At 43.6% G+C, this 13696-nt stretch overlaps 2 protein-coding genes and 1 long non-coding RNA gene across 17 annotated transcripts in view, besides 7 other annotated features; 2 read left to right on the forward strand and 1 right to left on the reverse strand.

The window, feature by feature from the left end:
- The window catches only part of PPP2R3C (protein phosphatase 2 regulatory subunit B''gamma), a 36827-nt gene extending 29408 nt beyond the window's left edge, over window positions 1–7419 (reverse strand). For 2 of the 7 annotated variants that reach the window (XM_005267782.5, XM_047431517.1), the window contains exons 1-3: window positions 7343–7419; window positions 7023–7222; window positions 1731–1858 (exon numbers count right to left, since the gene is read on the reverse strand). In XM_005267782.5, the coding sequence (XP_005267839.1) occupies window positions 1731–1858; window positions 7023–7080 (186 nt within the window). In that variant the 5' untranslated portion in view covers window positions 7081–7222; window positions 7343–7419. Of the gene's footprint in view, window positions 1–1730; window positions 1859–5947; window positions 5950–7022; window positions 7223–7342 lie in introns of those variants that run through there. The other 5 variants (NR_130972.2, NM_001305156.2, XM_024449638.2 and 2 more) reach the window with 4 other exon arrangements.
- Window positions 6315–7514: an enhancer, noted in NCBI's record as "MED14-independent group 3 enhancer chr14:35590400-35591599 (GRCh37/hg19 assembly coordinates)". NCBI's record gives its function as "activates an origin of replication core promoter dependent on BRD2, BRD4, P300/CBP and CDK7 cofactors, and independent of MED14, by STARR-seq in HCT116 cells {active_cell/tissue: HCT116}" and the evidence as "EXISTENCE:reporter gene assay evidence [ECO:0000049][PMID:35650434]".
- Window positions 6315–7653: a biological region, named in NCBI's record as "MED14-independent group 3 enhancer GRCh37_chr14:35590400-35591599".
- Window positions 6734–7653: an enhancer, noted in NCBI's record as "NANOG-H3K27ac-H3K4me1 hESC enhancer chr14:35590819-35591738 (GRCh37/hg19 assembly coordinates)". NCBI's record gives its function as "activates a minimal SCP1, AML or CMV promoter by ChIP-STARR-seq in primed H9 embryonic stem cells {active_cell/tissue: H9 hESC(primed)}" and the evidence as "EXISTENCE:reporter gene assay evidence [ECO:0000049][PMID:30033119]".
- Window positions 6897–7026: an enhancer, noted in NCBI's record as "active region_8263". NCBI's record gives its function as "activates an Ori minimal core promoter by ATAC-STARR-seq in GM12878 lymphoblastoid cells {active_cell/tissue: GM12878}" and the evidence as "EXISTENCE:reporter gene assay evidence [ECO:0000049][PMID:35858748]".
- Window positions 6960–13696, forward strand: part of PRORP-PSMA6 (PRORP-PSMA6 readthrough) — a 195633-nt gene continuing 188896 nt past the window's right edge. The window contains exons 1-4 of one of the 4 annotated variants that reach the window (NR_182666.1): window positions 6960–7173; window positions 8073–9352; window positions 11856–11903; window positions 12600–12732. This is a non-coding gene — a long non-coding RNA (PRORP-PSMA6 readthrough). Of the gene's footprint in view, window positions 7174–7672; window positions 7889–8072; window positions 9353–11855; window positions 11904–12599; window positions 12733–13696 lie in introns of those variants that run through there. The other 3 variants (NR_182669.1, NR_182668.1, NR_182667.1) reach the window with 3 other exon arrangements.
- Window positions 6960–13696, forward strand: part of PRORP (protein only RNase P catalytic subunit) — a 155784-nt gene continuing 149047 nt past the window's right edge. The window contains exons 1-4 of one of the 6 annotated variants that reach the window (NM_001414503.1): window positions 6960–7173; window positions 8073–9352; window positions 11856–11903; window positions 12600–12732. In NM_001414503.1, coding sequence (NP_001401432.1) covers window positions 8367–9352; window positions 11856–11903; window positions 12600–12732 — 1167 coding nt within the window. In that variant the 5' untranslated portion in view covers window positions 6960–7173; window positions 8073–8366. Of the gene's footprint in view, window positions 7174–7672; window positions 8032–8072; window positions 9353–11855; window positions 11904–12599; window positions 12733–13696 lie in introns of those variants that run through there. The other 5 variants (NM_014672.4, NM_001256679.2, NM_001256680.2 and 2 more) reach the window with 5 other exon arrangements.
- Window positions 7567–7646: an enhancer, noted in NCBI's record as "active region_8264". NCBI's record gives its function as "activates an Ori minimal core promoter by ATAC-STARR-seq in GM12878 lymphoblastoid cells {active_cell/tissue: GM12878}" and the evidence as "EXISTENCE:reporter gene assay evidence [ECO:0000049][PMID:35858748]".
- Window positions 7654–8573: an enhancer, noted in NCBI's record as "NANOG-H3K27ac-H3K4me1 hESC enhancer chr14:35591739-35592658 (GRCh37/hg19 assembly coordinates)". NCBI's record gives its function as "activates a minimal SCP1, AML or CMV promoter by ChIP-STARR-seq in primed H9 embryonic stem cells {active_cell/tissue: H9 hESC(primed)}" and the evidence as "EXISTENCE:reporter gene assay evidence [ECO:0000049][PMID:30033119]".
- Window positions 7657–8166: an enhancer, noted in NCBI's record as "active region_8265". NCBI's record gives its function as "activates an Ori minimal core promoter by ATAC-STARR-seq in GM12878 lymphoblastoid cells {active_cell/tissue: GM12878}" and the evidence as "EXISTENCE:reporter gene assay evidence [ECO:0000049][PMID:35858748]".

Genomic DNA, 13696 nt, shown 5'->3' on the forward strand with positions numbered 1-13696 from the left:
CTACTTAGGAGGGCTGAGGCAGGAGAATCACTTGAACCTGGGAGGCAGAGGTCGCAGTGAGCTGAGATCGTGCCATTGCACTCCGGCCTGGGCAACAGAGTGAGACTCCATCTCAAAAAAAAAACAAAAAGATGGGGTGTGGGGTGGTCTCACTATGTTGCCCAGGCTGGTCTCAAACTGCTGAGCTTAAGAGATTCTCCCTTCCTCACCCTCTCAGAGTAGCTGGGACTACAGGCGAATTGCCCTACCATTGCCAGGTTGTAAACGGCTTTTTTTTTTTTCTTTTTCTTTTTTTTTTTTTGAGATAGGCTCTTGCTCTGCCACCCAGGCTGGAATGCAGTGGCATGATCACAGCTCACTGCAGCCTCAAGCTCCTGAGCTCAAGCGATCCTTCCACCTCAGCCTCCTGAGTAGCGGGGACTACAGGTGCGCACCACCATGCCCGGCTAAGTTTTTTTTGGAGAGACACGATCTCACCAAGTTGCCCAGACTGGTTCTCAAACTCCTGGCCTCAAGTGATCCTCCTGATTTGATGGCCTCCCAAAGTGACAGGATTATAGGTGTGAGTCACCACACCTGGCCAACATTTTTTTTTTGAGACAGGGTCTTTGCTCTATCACCCAGGCTGGAGTGCAGTGACCCTACCATGAATAGCTTTTCTTAAGGTCTATTTTGTCTATACGTCCCTTCATAGCCATTTTCAGAGTTTTGGCACAAGGAAAAAATAATCAAGTGAAATTCCTTTTTTGTTTGTTTGTTTGAGACAGAGCCTTGCTCTGTCACCCAGGCTGGAGTGCAGTGGCGCGATCTGGGCTCACTACAACCTCCACCTCCTGGGTTCAAGTGATTCTCCTGCCTCAGCCTCCTGAGTAGCTAGGATTACCGGCGCGCGCCACCACGCCTGGCTAATTTTTGTATTTTGAGTAGAGACAGGGTTTCACCATGTTGGTCAGGCTGGTCTCGAACTCCTGACCTCATGATCCACCACCCACCTTGGCCTCCCAAAGTGTTGGGATTACAGGCATGAGCCACCATGCCTGGCCTCAAGTGAAATTCTTTAGGTTTTCCATAATCTATTTTTCGGTTTAGCCTTGAGCAAAATTTTAAAACTTTATAACAAAGTGTATACCTGATAACATAATCCAATAGAATACTTACTACTAATATCTATAATAAAAATCAGAAAGAAAAAGCCCACAGTTTAACAACTTTGTGTTTACATACCCACTTAAATCTAAACTTGGGATTTTATTGGGCTCAAAATGTTTTATAATAGTGATAAGATCAATTACAATAAAATAATATATAAAATTTAAAATATAATTCTCTATTTTTAAAACATAAAATTCTGGTCCTATTTTTAAAACTACTTTTTTTTCTGGGGGTGGGGAGGACAGGGTCTAACTCTGTTACCCAGGCTGGAGTGCAGTGACACAATCACGGCTCACTGCTGCCTCGATCTCCTGGGCTCAAGTAATCCTCCTGCTTCAGCCTCCTGAGAAGCTAGGACTACAGGCATGCATCACCATGTCCAGCTATTTTTTAAAAAATTTCTTTTAGAGATGGGATCTTGCTATGTTGCCCTGGCTGGTCTCAAATTCCTGGACTCAAGTGATCCTCCCGCCTCAGCCTCCCAAAGTGTTGGGATTACAGGTATGAGCCACCCTGCCTTGCCAAAAATTATATTTCATTTTTAAACTCTGCAGGACATTTGATTAGACACTACTTACCCTATAATAAAACCGGGGAATGGTCTTATAGAATTCATTTGTGTTTTTTCTACCTCCTTTCCATTCGGAGTAATATTTTGTAAATAAATCCATTTCTTCATCTTTTAATTCTTGTTCACTTTTTTTTTCTGGTAACAAAACAGATTAAGGGGAGCACTTTTAAAATCAAGCAGTACTTTTACTCAGGTCATCCTATATATTATATTAATAGTTTAATTAAAATAGTTGCAGTGCCAAAAAGGCCTTCACAATTGTGCTTAGACACTGAGCATATTAACTTTTCTGAAATACCAAGAATCACTACCCTCTACTGAAGCAGCCTCCTCTACATCTTCAACCATTTCTCATGCTCCCTCTACTTCTGTTTATCGCTAAAGCTAGTCTCTTCCTCAAATTACCTCTCCTACAGAACTCTGTAGAGTGCTCCTAATTCATTCAATGAAAAGAATTTACTGAGCACCTACTATGTACAGAGAACGCTGTAGTAGACACGGAATGAGGGGTGAGCAAGACAGCCCCAGCCCCTGACCTCATGGAGTTTCAGCCTCATAATCACTGTTTCTCTACCTAATGTAGAGAAAACAAACAAAAAAACTCATCCTCTGTCTGAAGCTCAAAACTCAGGGCTCTATTACCCTGCAACTCGCCTGCTATTGGCACGTGGCTGTCTCATTCAGCCAATTCCTCCCCACTTATTTGTGGACTATGGTGACTGGTACACAGTGTTCTTCACAAGGTCCTGCAATCATTTAGGATGAATAAACATTTATGTGGGTGACCATGGGTCCTGCAACTCCAAAGACTTTCACCTCTAGTTCATTCTGCCATTTGGTTCTATGACAAGATCACAGATTTTACTTGATCCCTTTCTGAAATCTTAAGCTCAAATATACTCTCAGATCATCCTTTCTGGTAATTCAAAACCTCACTGCCATACCATTTCCACTTCAGCCTCACTGAGCTCTTGAATTCTGTGATCTATTTTCTCAAAAGTTATTTTACTCTTTCTGGTCTCATTTCCTTCCCAACAAGCCTGTAATTGTTTCCTTGAATTCCTTTTATGACTGCATTTCTGCTGCATCTGTTAATTTTTTTTTTTTTGGAGATGGAGCTTCACTCTTGTTGCCCAGGCTGGGGCGCAATGGTACGATCTCGGGTCACGGCAACCTCCGCCTCCCAGGTTCAAGGGATTCTCCTGCCTCAGCCTCCTGAGTGGCTGGGATTACGGGCATGTGCCACCACGCCTGGCTAATTTTGTATTTTTAGTAGAGATGGGGCTTCTCCATGTTGGTCAGGCTGGTCTTGAACTCCTGACCTCAGGTGATCTGCCCACCTCGGCCTCCCAAAGTGCTGGGATTACAGGCATGAGCCACCATGCCTGGCCTATTATGTTAATTTTTAACCTTAGACCAAACCTATAAGTTAATTTCTTTACTATGGCTCAGTGCTGTTGTAGAAAACTGCAAAATTTTTCAAGCAAAGTCAAGACTGACAACTGACCACTGAAGTTAACAATATAGCAGTCACTGATGATTCTTGACAAGCAGGAATTCGAGACGAGTACAGATTTAACCAACAACTGTTTTAACAAATATTGCTATAAGGGGAACAGAAAAATGAGGAATGGCTAGAGGTGGAAATTAAGTCAAGAAAGTTTAAGATGGGAGAAATACCAGCATGTTTATATGCTGATGGGAATGATTAAAGAAAAACTGATGATACAGGAGAAGGGACAACTGCAAGAGTACATCCTTCAGCAGGCAAAAATGGAATCTACTACAAAGGATAGGATCTAGTACACTGATGAAGGAACCAGACTTACGCAGGTGCTGTACAACCTATATAATTTACTTATTATTTTATTATTTCTCTCCACACTAAAGTGTAAGTTCTACAAAGACAGAGATTTTTTTGTGTTCTGCTATAAGCTACAACGGTACTTGGCACAAAACAGGCATGCAATAAATATCTGCTAAAAGAATGCAGTGGGTTTAAGAGTTAAGGGGTCAAGAAAGCACACAAAGTACAAGTACAGGTACCTTCCTTTTTTTTTTTTTTTTTTCCGAGACTGAGTCTCACTGTCACCCAGGCTGGAGGGCAGTGGCGCGATCTTGGCTCACTGCAAACTTCACCTCCTGGGTTGAAGTGATTCTCCTGCCTCAGCCTCCTGAGTAGCTGGGATTACAGACACTTGCCACAATGCCCGGCTAAATTTTGTATTTTTAGTAGAGAGAGCGTTTCACCACGTTGGCCAGGCTGGTCTGTCTCCTGACCTCAGGTGATCCACCCACTTCAGCCTCCCAAAGTGCTGGGATTACAGGCATGAGCCACTGCGCCCAGCCAAGTACAGGTAACTTCTTTGAGAAGTTTTCCTATGAAGAGTGCAGAGAAATGCAACAGAAGCTGGAGAGGGATGTGGGATCAAATGACTTTTTTTTTTTTTTTTGAGATGTAGTCTCGTTCTATCGCCCAGGCTGGAGAGCAGTGTCGTAATCTCAGCTCACCGCAACTTCTGCCTCCTGGGTTCAAGCGATTCTCCCGCTTCAGCCTCCCAAGTAGCTGGGATTACAGGTGTGCACCACTGCGCCCAGCTACTTTTTGTATTTTTAGTAGAGACGGACTTTCACCATGTTGGCCAGGCTGGTCTTGAACTCCTGACCTCAAGTGATCTGCCTACCTCGGCCTCCCGAAGTGTTGGGATTACAGGTGTAAGCCACAGTGCCCAGCCCAAATGAATTTTTTTTAAGACAGGGTCTGGCTCTTGTCACCCAGGCTGCAGTATAGTGTCATGATCATAGCTCACTGCAGCCCCAAACTCCTAGACTGAAACAACCCTCCCTGCTTCAGCCTCTCGAGTAGCTAGGACTACAGTGGTGCACAACCACCCGGGCTAATTTTTTACTTTCTATTTTTGTAGAAACGGTGTTTCACTATGTTGCCCAGGCTGGTCTCAAACTCCTGGCCTCAAGCGATCTTCCCATCTCGGCCTCCCAAAGTGCTGGGGTTACATGAATGAGCCACCGAGCCTCCCAACACCACTACCCCCGACCACCCACCTTTTAAAAAGATGGGTGATATTAACAGCACGTTTGTGCTGGTGTAAATGATCCAGCAGAAGGAAAATCTGATGATGTAGGAAAGAAAGGAGGAGGCTGGAAGGAAGTCAGTGAATACAGGGAAAAGAATGCAATCTAGTGGTGGACTGGAGGGACTCTTAAATAGGAGCATGGACAGTTCATCTTTTTTTTTTTTTTTTTTTGAGACGGAGTCTCGCTCTGTCGCCCAGGCTGGAGTGCAGTGGCACAATCTCCGGCTCACTACAACCTCCGCCTCCCGGGTTCACGCCATTCTCCTGCCTCAGCCTCCTGAGTAGCTGGGACTACAGGCGCCCGCCACCGCACCCGTCTAATTTTTTGTATTTTTAGTAGAGACGGGGTTTCACTGCGGTCTCAGTCTCCTGACCTCGTGATCCGCCCGCCTCGGCCTCCCAAAGTGCTGGGATTACAGGCTTGAGCCACCGCGCCCGGCATCAGTTCATCATTTTAACAGTGAAGCCAGAGTGTATGGGCAACTAACTGTGGGGTTGTGGGGCTGAAAGAAATGTTAAGGGGGACAGGTGATGTTCTCCTCTGACTGCTTCTCCTTTTTTTTTGAGACTGAGTGTCGCTCGGTCGCCCAGGCCGGAGTGCAGTGGCACAATCTCGGGCTCACTGCAAGCTCCGCCTCTCGGGTTGAAGGTATTCTCCTGCCTCAACCTCTGGAGTAGCTGGGACTATAGGCGCCCGCCACCACTACCGGGTAATTTTTTTGTATTTTTAGTAGAGACGGGGTTTCACCGTGTTAGCCAGGATGGTCTCGATCTGCTGACCTCGTGATCCGCCCGCCTCGGCCTCCCAAAGTGCTGGGATTACAGGACTGAGCGACCGCGCCCGGCCGACTGCTTCTCCTTTCTTAATGAGATATATATTAAAATACAAGTTCATCAGCTTAAAGTAAGAAGCGGGTAGGACAGACTGCAGGTGTAGGAGATGAGAAGAATAGTGTAAAAGAGTGTTGCCTGGGTGCGGCGGCTCACGTCTGTAATAGCAACACTTTGGGAGGTGGAGGTAGGAAGACTGCCTGAGGCCAGGAATTCGAGACCAGCCCAGGCAACATAGCAAGACCTCATCTCCACTAAAAATAAAAAATTAGCCGGGTGTGGTGGCGTGTGCCTGTACTTCTAGCTGCTCAAGAGGCTGGGGTGGGAAGATCCCTTGAGCCCAGGAAATCGAGGTTGCAGCAATACTTCACTGCGCCGCTGCACTCCAGCCTGGGCAACACAGGGAGATCCTGTATCGGAAAAAAAAAAGTGTATTTAGGAAAACACAGATTGGCAGTTTGGGAGATGAAAATTGAATGTAGGAGAATGAACGTCCAGGAAAACACGGTAGACATGACCAAAACACCTTCTTTAGATTAGTGGACTTGTATTAAAAGTGAGATAACTCGGCGGGGCGCGGTGACTCACGTCTGTAATTCCAGCACTTTGGGAGGCCGAGGTGGGCGAATCACAAGGTCAGGAGTTTGAGACCAGCCTGGCCAATATGGCGAAACCCCGTCTCTACTAGAAATACAAAAATTAACCGGCCGTGGTTGCGCGCGCTTATAGTTCCAGCTACTCCAGAGGCTGAGGCAGAAGAACCGCTTGAACCCGGGAGGCAGAGGTTGCAGTGAGCGGAGATGCTGCCACTGCACTCCAGCCAGCCTGGGCGACAGAGCAAGAGACTCCGTCTCAAAAAAAAAAGTGAGACAACTCACCAAGGTTCTGTTTTTCTCCAGCCACTTTCAACAGCCCTTAGTGCGGGTGTGGAATAGGAAAGGTAGATTTAACGAGGTTAGTTAATAAGCAATGTGAAGGAGAAAAATAAAAGGAAAAATGGATTATGAAATATAAAATGGATTACGAGGGAAGCAAAAAGCGTGACAGTAAAAAGGCAGGAGGACAATTATAGGTCCTGGTGGGGTTCAGGCGTTGTTGGAGCCGGGGTTCCAAGTTATTCTTCACAAGTTTAGATTAAGACCATGGAAGTCAGTGACTAAAGCTAAGTTTTTCGTTCCTCTAGATTCTGCCCCAGGAAAGTTTGGGTCAAACCTATCGGGATCCTTAAACCACATTCCACTCCGCCTCCTTTGTCGGGAGGTTTCACAGAAGCGGAAAAGGCGGCTCCCCCTTGCTCCTCCTCCCCACCTCCCCCCTACCTCTAGGAGTTTAGGGCCGGGCCATCCCAACGGGCTGCCCCTCCCAAAACTCACTGTTTGGACAGGTGTTGGGCGTCGCTAGGCGCCGACGAAGAACTTCTTTCCAGTCCATGGCCGACTTCCGCGCAGCAGCTTCTGCATTTGCTGTTTCCTACCTGCTCCACCCCTACCAGCTCAGGCGTCAGCACCGCCAGGCCCCGTAAAGGTTAGGAAGGCCGTCCAACCACCATCTTGATCGAGGGCGGAAGTCTTGGCTAAAGAGGCAAAAACAATTACTGTCACTGCCGCGGAGAATACCGCTACCACGCTGACTGGGGGAAAAAACTATGAAAGAGATGGAAAATGGTTCTCCTTCAGAGGCGACCCAAGCTCACCAAGCCGGATTTTAAAGGCCACGATAAGCCCGCGTTTTCCTTTATCGTGTGCCTTTGGCGCGTGCGCACCACGTGACCCAGGAGTTCATTAGTTCCGGCTTGAGGGAAGCGCCTTCTTTCACAATTTCTTTTCATTGTTCATTGCGGATATCTGGAAGCCTTCCAGGTCCCCTGAATGTAGTAGACACTTCAGCAGCCGTCTCCTACCCCTTTTGCCACTAAATGCTTCAAAACTGCCTTTTTTCCTCGCCGCCGGGCCAGGCGGAACGCCTAAGTCCGGGTCAGTCTCGTCCGTCGGTCGGGGCTGGCGCGGTGCATCGTGGGCACTGTAGTTTCCGCCGCGTTTATGGCCGCGTTAAGTCTGAGTGCCGCTTTGAGTTGTTGAATGAAGTGAACTTCATTTGTCAGCGTTCGGTACGCAGTCTAGGCAGCGCCCTTCCTGTACCTCTCTTCCTTTCCTGAGTCGTTGGCGCAGCTGACTCGCCACCTCCTCCCTCCTCGTCCCCCCACCGGAGGAGTTTTGCGGTCTGTAGAGAGCTATGCAGGGTGAGGGCCCCTAGACTTCGGCTTTCGCCGCTGTTGGTGGTAGGCTGGAGTTGGGGGTCCCTGGATACGGTTTTGGCTTTACACCCCCTTTCCAGCAAGCTTCCCGTGGGAATCTGTTCCTTTTCAGGACAGCTGTGATCCACGTGAGTAAAACTGGGCGTTCCGTCTTGTGCTTTTTCCTCAGGTTCATGAACTGGAATGTAAGAGGCACCAGAGGATTCCTGCTCTGTCCCCTGGTTTGCGGCTTGCGACGTTGGACATCCCCGGATTGTTGTTTAATAGAGAAAACTCACCTGCCTTCTTGCTTTTAAGTAGCCCCAAAAGCAGAACCTTGATTTGTCTGTAAGGAAGAAACACAAACCTTTTAAAAAGTTCCACTTCGACTCTGCACCGCCGACCCCCAATCTCTTTAATTTTGCCATAGAAGAGGGGTTTTTTCAACATCTCTCTCACTATCTGGTGCTGATCTCACTGCATAATGACTTTCTATTTGTTTGGTATTCGAAGCTTTCCGAAGCTTTGGAAGAGCCCATACCTTGGGCTAGGCCCAGGGCACTCTTATGTCTCGCTGTTTCTGGCAGACCGCTGTGGCATCAGGAACCAGCAGAGGTTGTTTTCTCTTAAAACAATGTCTCCACAGAATACCAAAGCAACGAATCTGATTGCCAAGGCCAGATATCTCAGGAAAGATGAGGGCAGTAATAAGCAAGTTTATTCTGTTCCTCATTTTTTTTTAGCTGGAGCAGCTAAGGAGAGATCACAGATGAATTCTCAAACTGAAGATCATGCCTTGGCACCTGTGAGGAACACTATTCAACTCCCAACACAACCTTTGAATTCAGAGGAGTGGGATAAACTTAAGGAAGATTTAAAAGAAAACACCGGAAAGACCAGTTTCGAAAGTTGGATCATTTCACAGATGGCTGGCTGTCATAGCTCTATAGATGTGGCTAAATCTCTGCTGGCATGGGTAGCAGCCAAAAATAATGGTATTGTAAGTTACGATTTACTGGTCAAGTATTTGTATCTCTGTGTCTTTCATATGCAGACATCTGAAGTTATTGATGTCTTTGAAATTATGAAAGCCAGATATAAGACTTTAGAACCTAGAGGTTACAGTCTTCTCATCCGGGGATTGATCCATTCAGACAGATGGAGAGAAGCATTGTTGCTGTTAGAGGACATCAAAAAAGTTATAACTCCTTCAAAAAAGAACTATAATGACTGTATCCAGGGAGCTCTCCTTCATCAAGATGTAAACACAGCTTGGAATTTATATCAGGAATTGCTAGGTCATGATATTGTTCCTATGTTGGAAACTTTAAAAGCTTTCTTTGATTTTGGAAAAGACATAAAGGATGATAACTATTCAAATAAACTACTAGATATTCTTTCATATCTAAGAAATAATCAGCTGTATCCAGGGGAGTCATTTGCACACAGTATAAAAACATGGTTTGAGAGGTAATTTTGGTTTTTTTATATGTATGTTTTTATTCTTTAATTTTTTTTTTTTTTGAGACAGGGTCTTGCTCTGTTGCCCAGACTGGAGTGCAGTGGTGTGTTCATAGCTCACTGTAACCTCAAACTCCTGGCCTCAAGTGATCCTCTCGCTTCAGTCTCCTCAGTAGCTAAAACCACAGGCATGTGCCACCATACCTGGCTAATTATTTTTAATTTAATAACTTTAAACCTCAAAGTAGCCATTCTTTTTTGTTGTTAGTTGCTGAGAATCACTCTTCTGATTATACTTTTTTCCATCTCTTAGTAAGATTTATTTTCTCTTTACGACAAAATTTTCTCTCTTTAAAAAAAGTAACAACATACATAATTTGTGCTAATCTTTACCCATCACATAAAACTGAAATTATATAGCAGTTTTAATTTTTACATTTTTTTCCTTTTGGAAGGATCATTAATTTTGTTTTCTTAGGCATCTAGTATGATGTGAGTACTTAATACTACTTATGGCCACTGTTCATAGCAAGAAAAGAATATAGCATTTGACTAGAACTGTCTCTGGCCATATTAGTATTTTCAGAAGTTCCTCTGAAATCTAGCGACTGAGATAATATGCTTATATTTATTCTGTCTACTCTCTCCCTTTTTTTTTTTTTTGAGACGGAGTTTTGCTCTTGTTGCCAGGCTAGAGTGCAATGGCATGATCTCGGCTCATTGTAACCTTTGCCTCCCGGGTTTTCTCCTGCCTCACACTCCCGAGTAGCTGGGATTACAGGCATGCGCCACCATGCCCTGCTAATTTTCTATTTTCTTTTTAGTAGAGACGGGGTTTCTCTATGTTGGTCAGGCTGCTCTCGAACTACCTCAGGTGATCCGCCTGCCTCGGCCTCCCAAAGTGCTGGGATTACAGGCGTGAACCACCGCGTCCGGCCTATTCTGTCTACTATCTATAGTTCATCAACTTGGATGATTAGAGTGGACAGGGGGATATTGATCAAGCCTTATACGTAAGCATTACAATGGAAAATCTTAACCCTTCCAGTTTGTTTTGGACCTTTCTATCATTTGGCTGCTGTCTCTCTAAAGCTCTCTCCTTTGGTTTGCTTTTGCTTTATTCATGTTACTGGGTACATACCTGTTTATTGCTTTAGTCTTTTTTAAAATTTTTGAAAATTTTTACTTATTTTTTAAAATTAATATTCTTTTTTTAAGAGGTGGGGTCTTGCTGTGTTGACCAGGCTGGACTCAAACTCTTGGCCTCAAGCGATCAGGTGTGAGCCACCATGCTTAGTCATTATTTCTTCATTAATTTGCTTCCTAAAAATTTGTTCCTTCCCTCTGTTTTTCTCTTGCCTTTTTTTCCCCTATATCATGTTTACGGAGCTTTGAAGCAGTAATTATGCTTAATTATCTTAAACTTACTGAAGATCAAGGGAGGAGGAGCCCATTTGTGAAAATCTTTGAATACCAAGGAGTTTGGATTTTATTCTGTTATCAAGAATGCTGGATTTGGCTGGGTGCTGTGGCTCACGCCTGTAATCTGAGCACTTTTAGAGACTGAGGTGGGAGGATAGCTTGAGGCCAGGAGTTGGAGACCAGCCTGGGCATGGTGAAACCCTGTCTCTACAAATAATACAAAAATTAGCTTGGCATGGCGGTGTGTGCCGGTAGTCCTAGCTACTTGGGAGGCTGAAGCAAGAGGATCACTTGAATCTAGGGAGTCAATCAAGGCTGCAGGGAGCTGTGATGGCGCCATGCACTCCAACCTGGGCGACAGAGCAAGACCTTGTCTCAAAAGAAAAAAATAATGCTGGAATGGAGTTTTACAAAGGCAGTTGCCAAGTGAGAAGAGTAGATAGGAGAGGGATTAAGATTGAAAACAGGGAGATCTGCGTGAATACAATTTTAGGTTTAGGTGAGAGATGATGAGAATTAAGAACTGAGGAAGGAGAGAAGGCAGTAGAATCATAAGAACTGATGGTAATATGTGGAAGGGGAAGGAGGAAAGGATACATTGATTGAACAAATACATCAATACATAGTTTTTGAATGCTTCCAAATAGGCTAGGCATTGCGAGTGTTTTATAAAATCTATTATGACATTCTCAATTTAATTGGGAATACAGTACCACACAGTGAAATAACAGTGGTGTGTAAGAGGTAAATTACTCTCGGCAGGAGCAATTTCTGGCAGCTTTATGGAGAAGGTAAGAGTTGAGTTTGGTTTAGAGGTTATGCTACTAAGGTCAGCCGCTTTTGGTAGACTTGAAGATGAGAGTTATTTGTTGGGAGGAGAACCACAGGGAAGAAGGAGATCCAGAGCAGAGTACCAGCAGCTTCTTAACCCCATCCAGGATAGCAGCCACTTTTTAAATTAAACCATTCTACAGAAGTATCTTGAACTTTTCGGACTTCTTGCTTATAAGAGTTTCCAAATACCATGAATATCTTTCATTTCAGTAGGAATCTAACCTTCTCATGATTTGGTTTTGCAATCTTTTCATAGTGTTCCTGGAAAACAATGGAAAGGACAATTCACCACAGTCCGAAAAAGGTGAAGACCAATGTTTATTTTTAACTTGTTTGATTTTGGTTTAGTAGGTTTTGTTGCTATTAATTGAAAAATATTTAAGAACACCTTAAGGGTAGGATAATTACAAGTTTGTAATTAGAGTATCTGAGGAAAAAAACATACTTTGCATACAGAGACTTAGCAGTGCCCAAAATGTTTTTCCTGTGAGTACTGTGAACCTATATGAAGTCTTAGAGATGTTTTTTCCCTAGAGGTTCCAGACCCAGTTGTGTTTTAGGATTTATTTATTTATTTAATTCACCAATATGATATTCCAGAGGATAGGAATTACTTTAAAAATGTCATCTGAGCTGGGCGCGGTGGCTCACGCCTGTAATCCCAGCACTTTGGGAGGCCGAGGCAGGCAGATCACGAGGTCAGGAGATTCGAGACCATCCTGGCCAACATGTTGAAACCAAGTCTCCACTAAAAATACAAGACCCTGTCTCAAAAAAAAAAAAGTCATCCAAACGGCCAATCTACTTTTTTGGGTTTTCTGGCACACTAATTTGTGATATTATCAGGTTTACAAAAAATTAGATGTATGTGATTATCACAAAGGTTTTAATGTTCTTTTTTATTACCTTTTAATTTCCTCATTGTTCATTTCACAAATTTTTTTCCCCAGAACATTATTCGACATATTTAAATATTATTATTTAACAATTATAATTACAGTGGCCAGTGTTCGGGCTGTGGAAAAACCATAGAGTCTATTCAGCTGAGTCCAGAAGAATATGAATGTCTTAAGGGAAAAATCATGAGGGATGTGATAGATGGAGGTGACCAGTACAGAAAGACAACACCTCAGGTGAGTCTAACAAGTTTTATTTCTTCTTGGATTGCTTGTCTAGAGCAGGGGTTAGCAATTTTTGTAAAATGCCAGATACTAAATATTTTAGGCTTTGTAGGTCATCGGTCCCTGTTGCAACTTTTCAACTCTGCTGTTGTAGTTAAGACATCCATAGATAATACATAAATGAATAGACATGGCTGTGTTCCAGTAAACTTTATTCATGAAAACAAGCAGTAGGCTGGATTTGGCCTGCTGACTACAATTGCCAACCTTTCGGAGAGATTGCTTTAGAATTTCGTAGAATAATTGGGTTAGACCATCATCTGTTGAAGTCAATCCTATTATACTGGGGCATAATAAGTGCACTTAAACTAAAAAGATGCTTATTCTTTCTGTAAGTGCTTCCAGAAAACTATGTTCAAGTAGACTGCCATGAAAACATTGTAGTTTCTCACAACTTTTCTAGTCAAGAGAGTTTAGAGTAACTTAAGATTATTTACAGATTTTCTTAGTATCACGTTAACTGATTTGTGTATATTGAACCATCCTTACGTCTCAGGGATAAATCTCACTTGGTGATGATGAATGATCTTTTTAATGTATTGTTGAATTTGGTATGCTAGTATTTTGTTGAGGATTTTTGCATCAATATTCATCAGAGATATTGGCCTGTAGTTTTTTGTTTTTTTTTTGTTGTTTTTTGGGTTTTTTTTTTGCTGTGTCTTTGTCTGGTTTTGGTATCAAGGTAACACTAGCCTCATGGAATGAGTTTGGAAGTCTTCCCTCCTCTATTTTTTGGAATAGTTTGAATAGGATTGCTATTATTCTTTAAATGTTTGGTAGAATTGAGCAGTGAAGCCGTCAGGTCCTGGGCTTTTCTTTGCTGGGAGACTTTTTATTATGGCTTCGATCTCGTTACTTGTTATTGGTCTCTTCATGTTTTTTATTTCTTCATGGTTCAGTCTTAATATATTGAATC

This window comes from Homo sapiens, chromosome 14, assembly GCF_000001405.40.
Source record: "Homo sapiens chromosome 14, GRCh38.p14 Primary Assembly".
NCBI classification, from domain to species: Eukaryota; Metazoa; Chordata; class Mammalia; order Primates; family Hominidae; genus Homo; species Homo sapiens.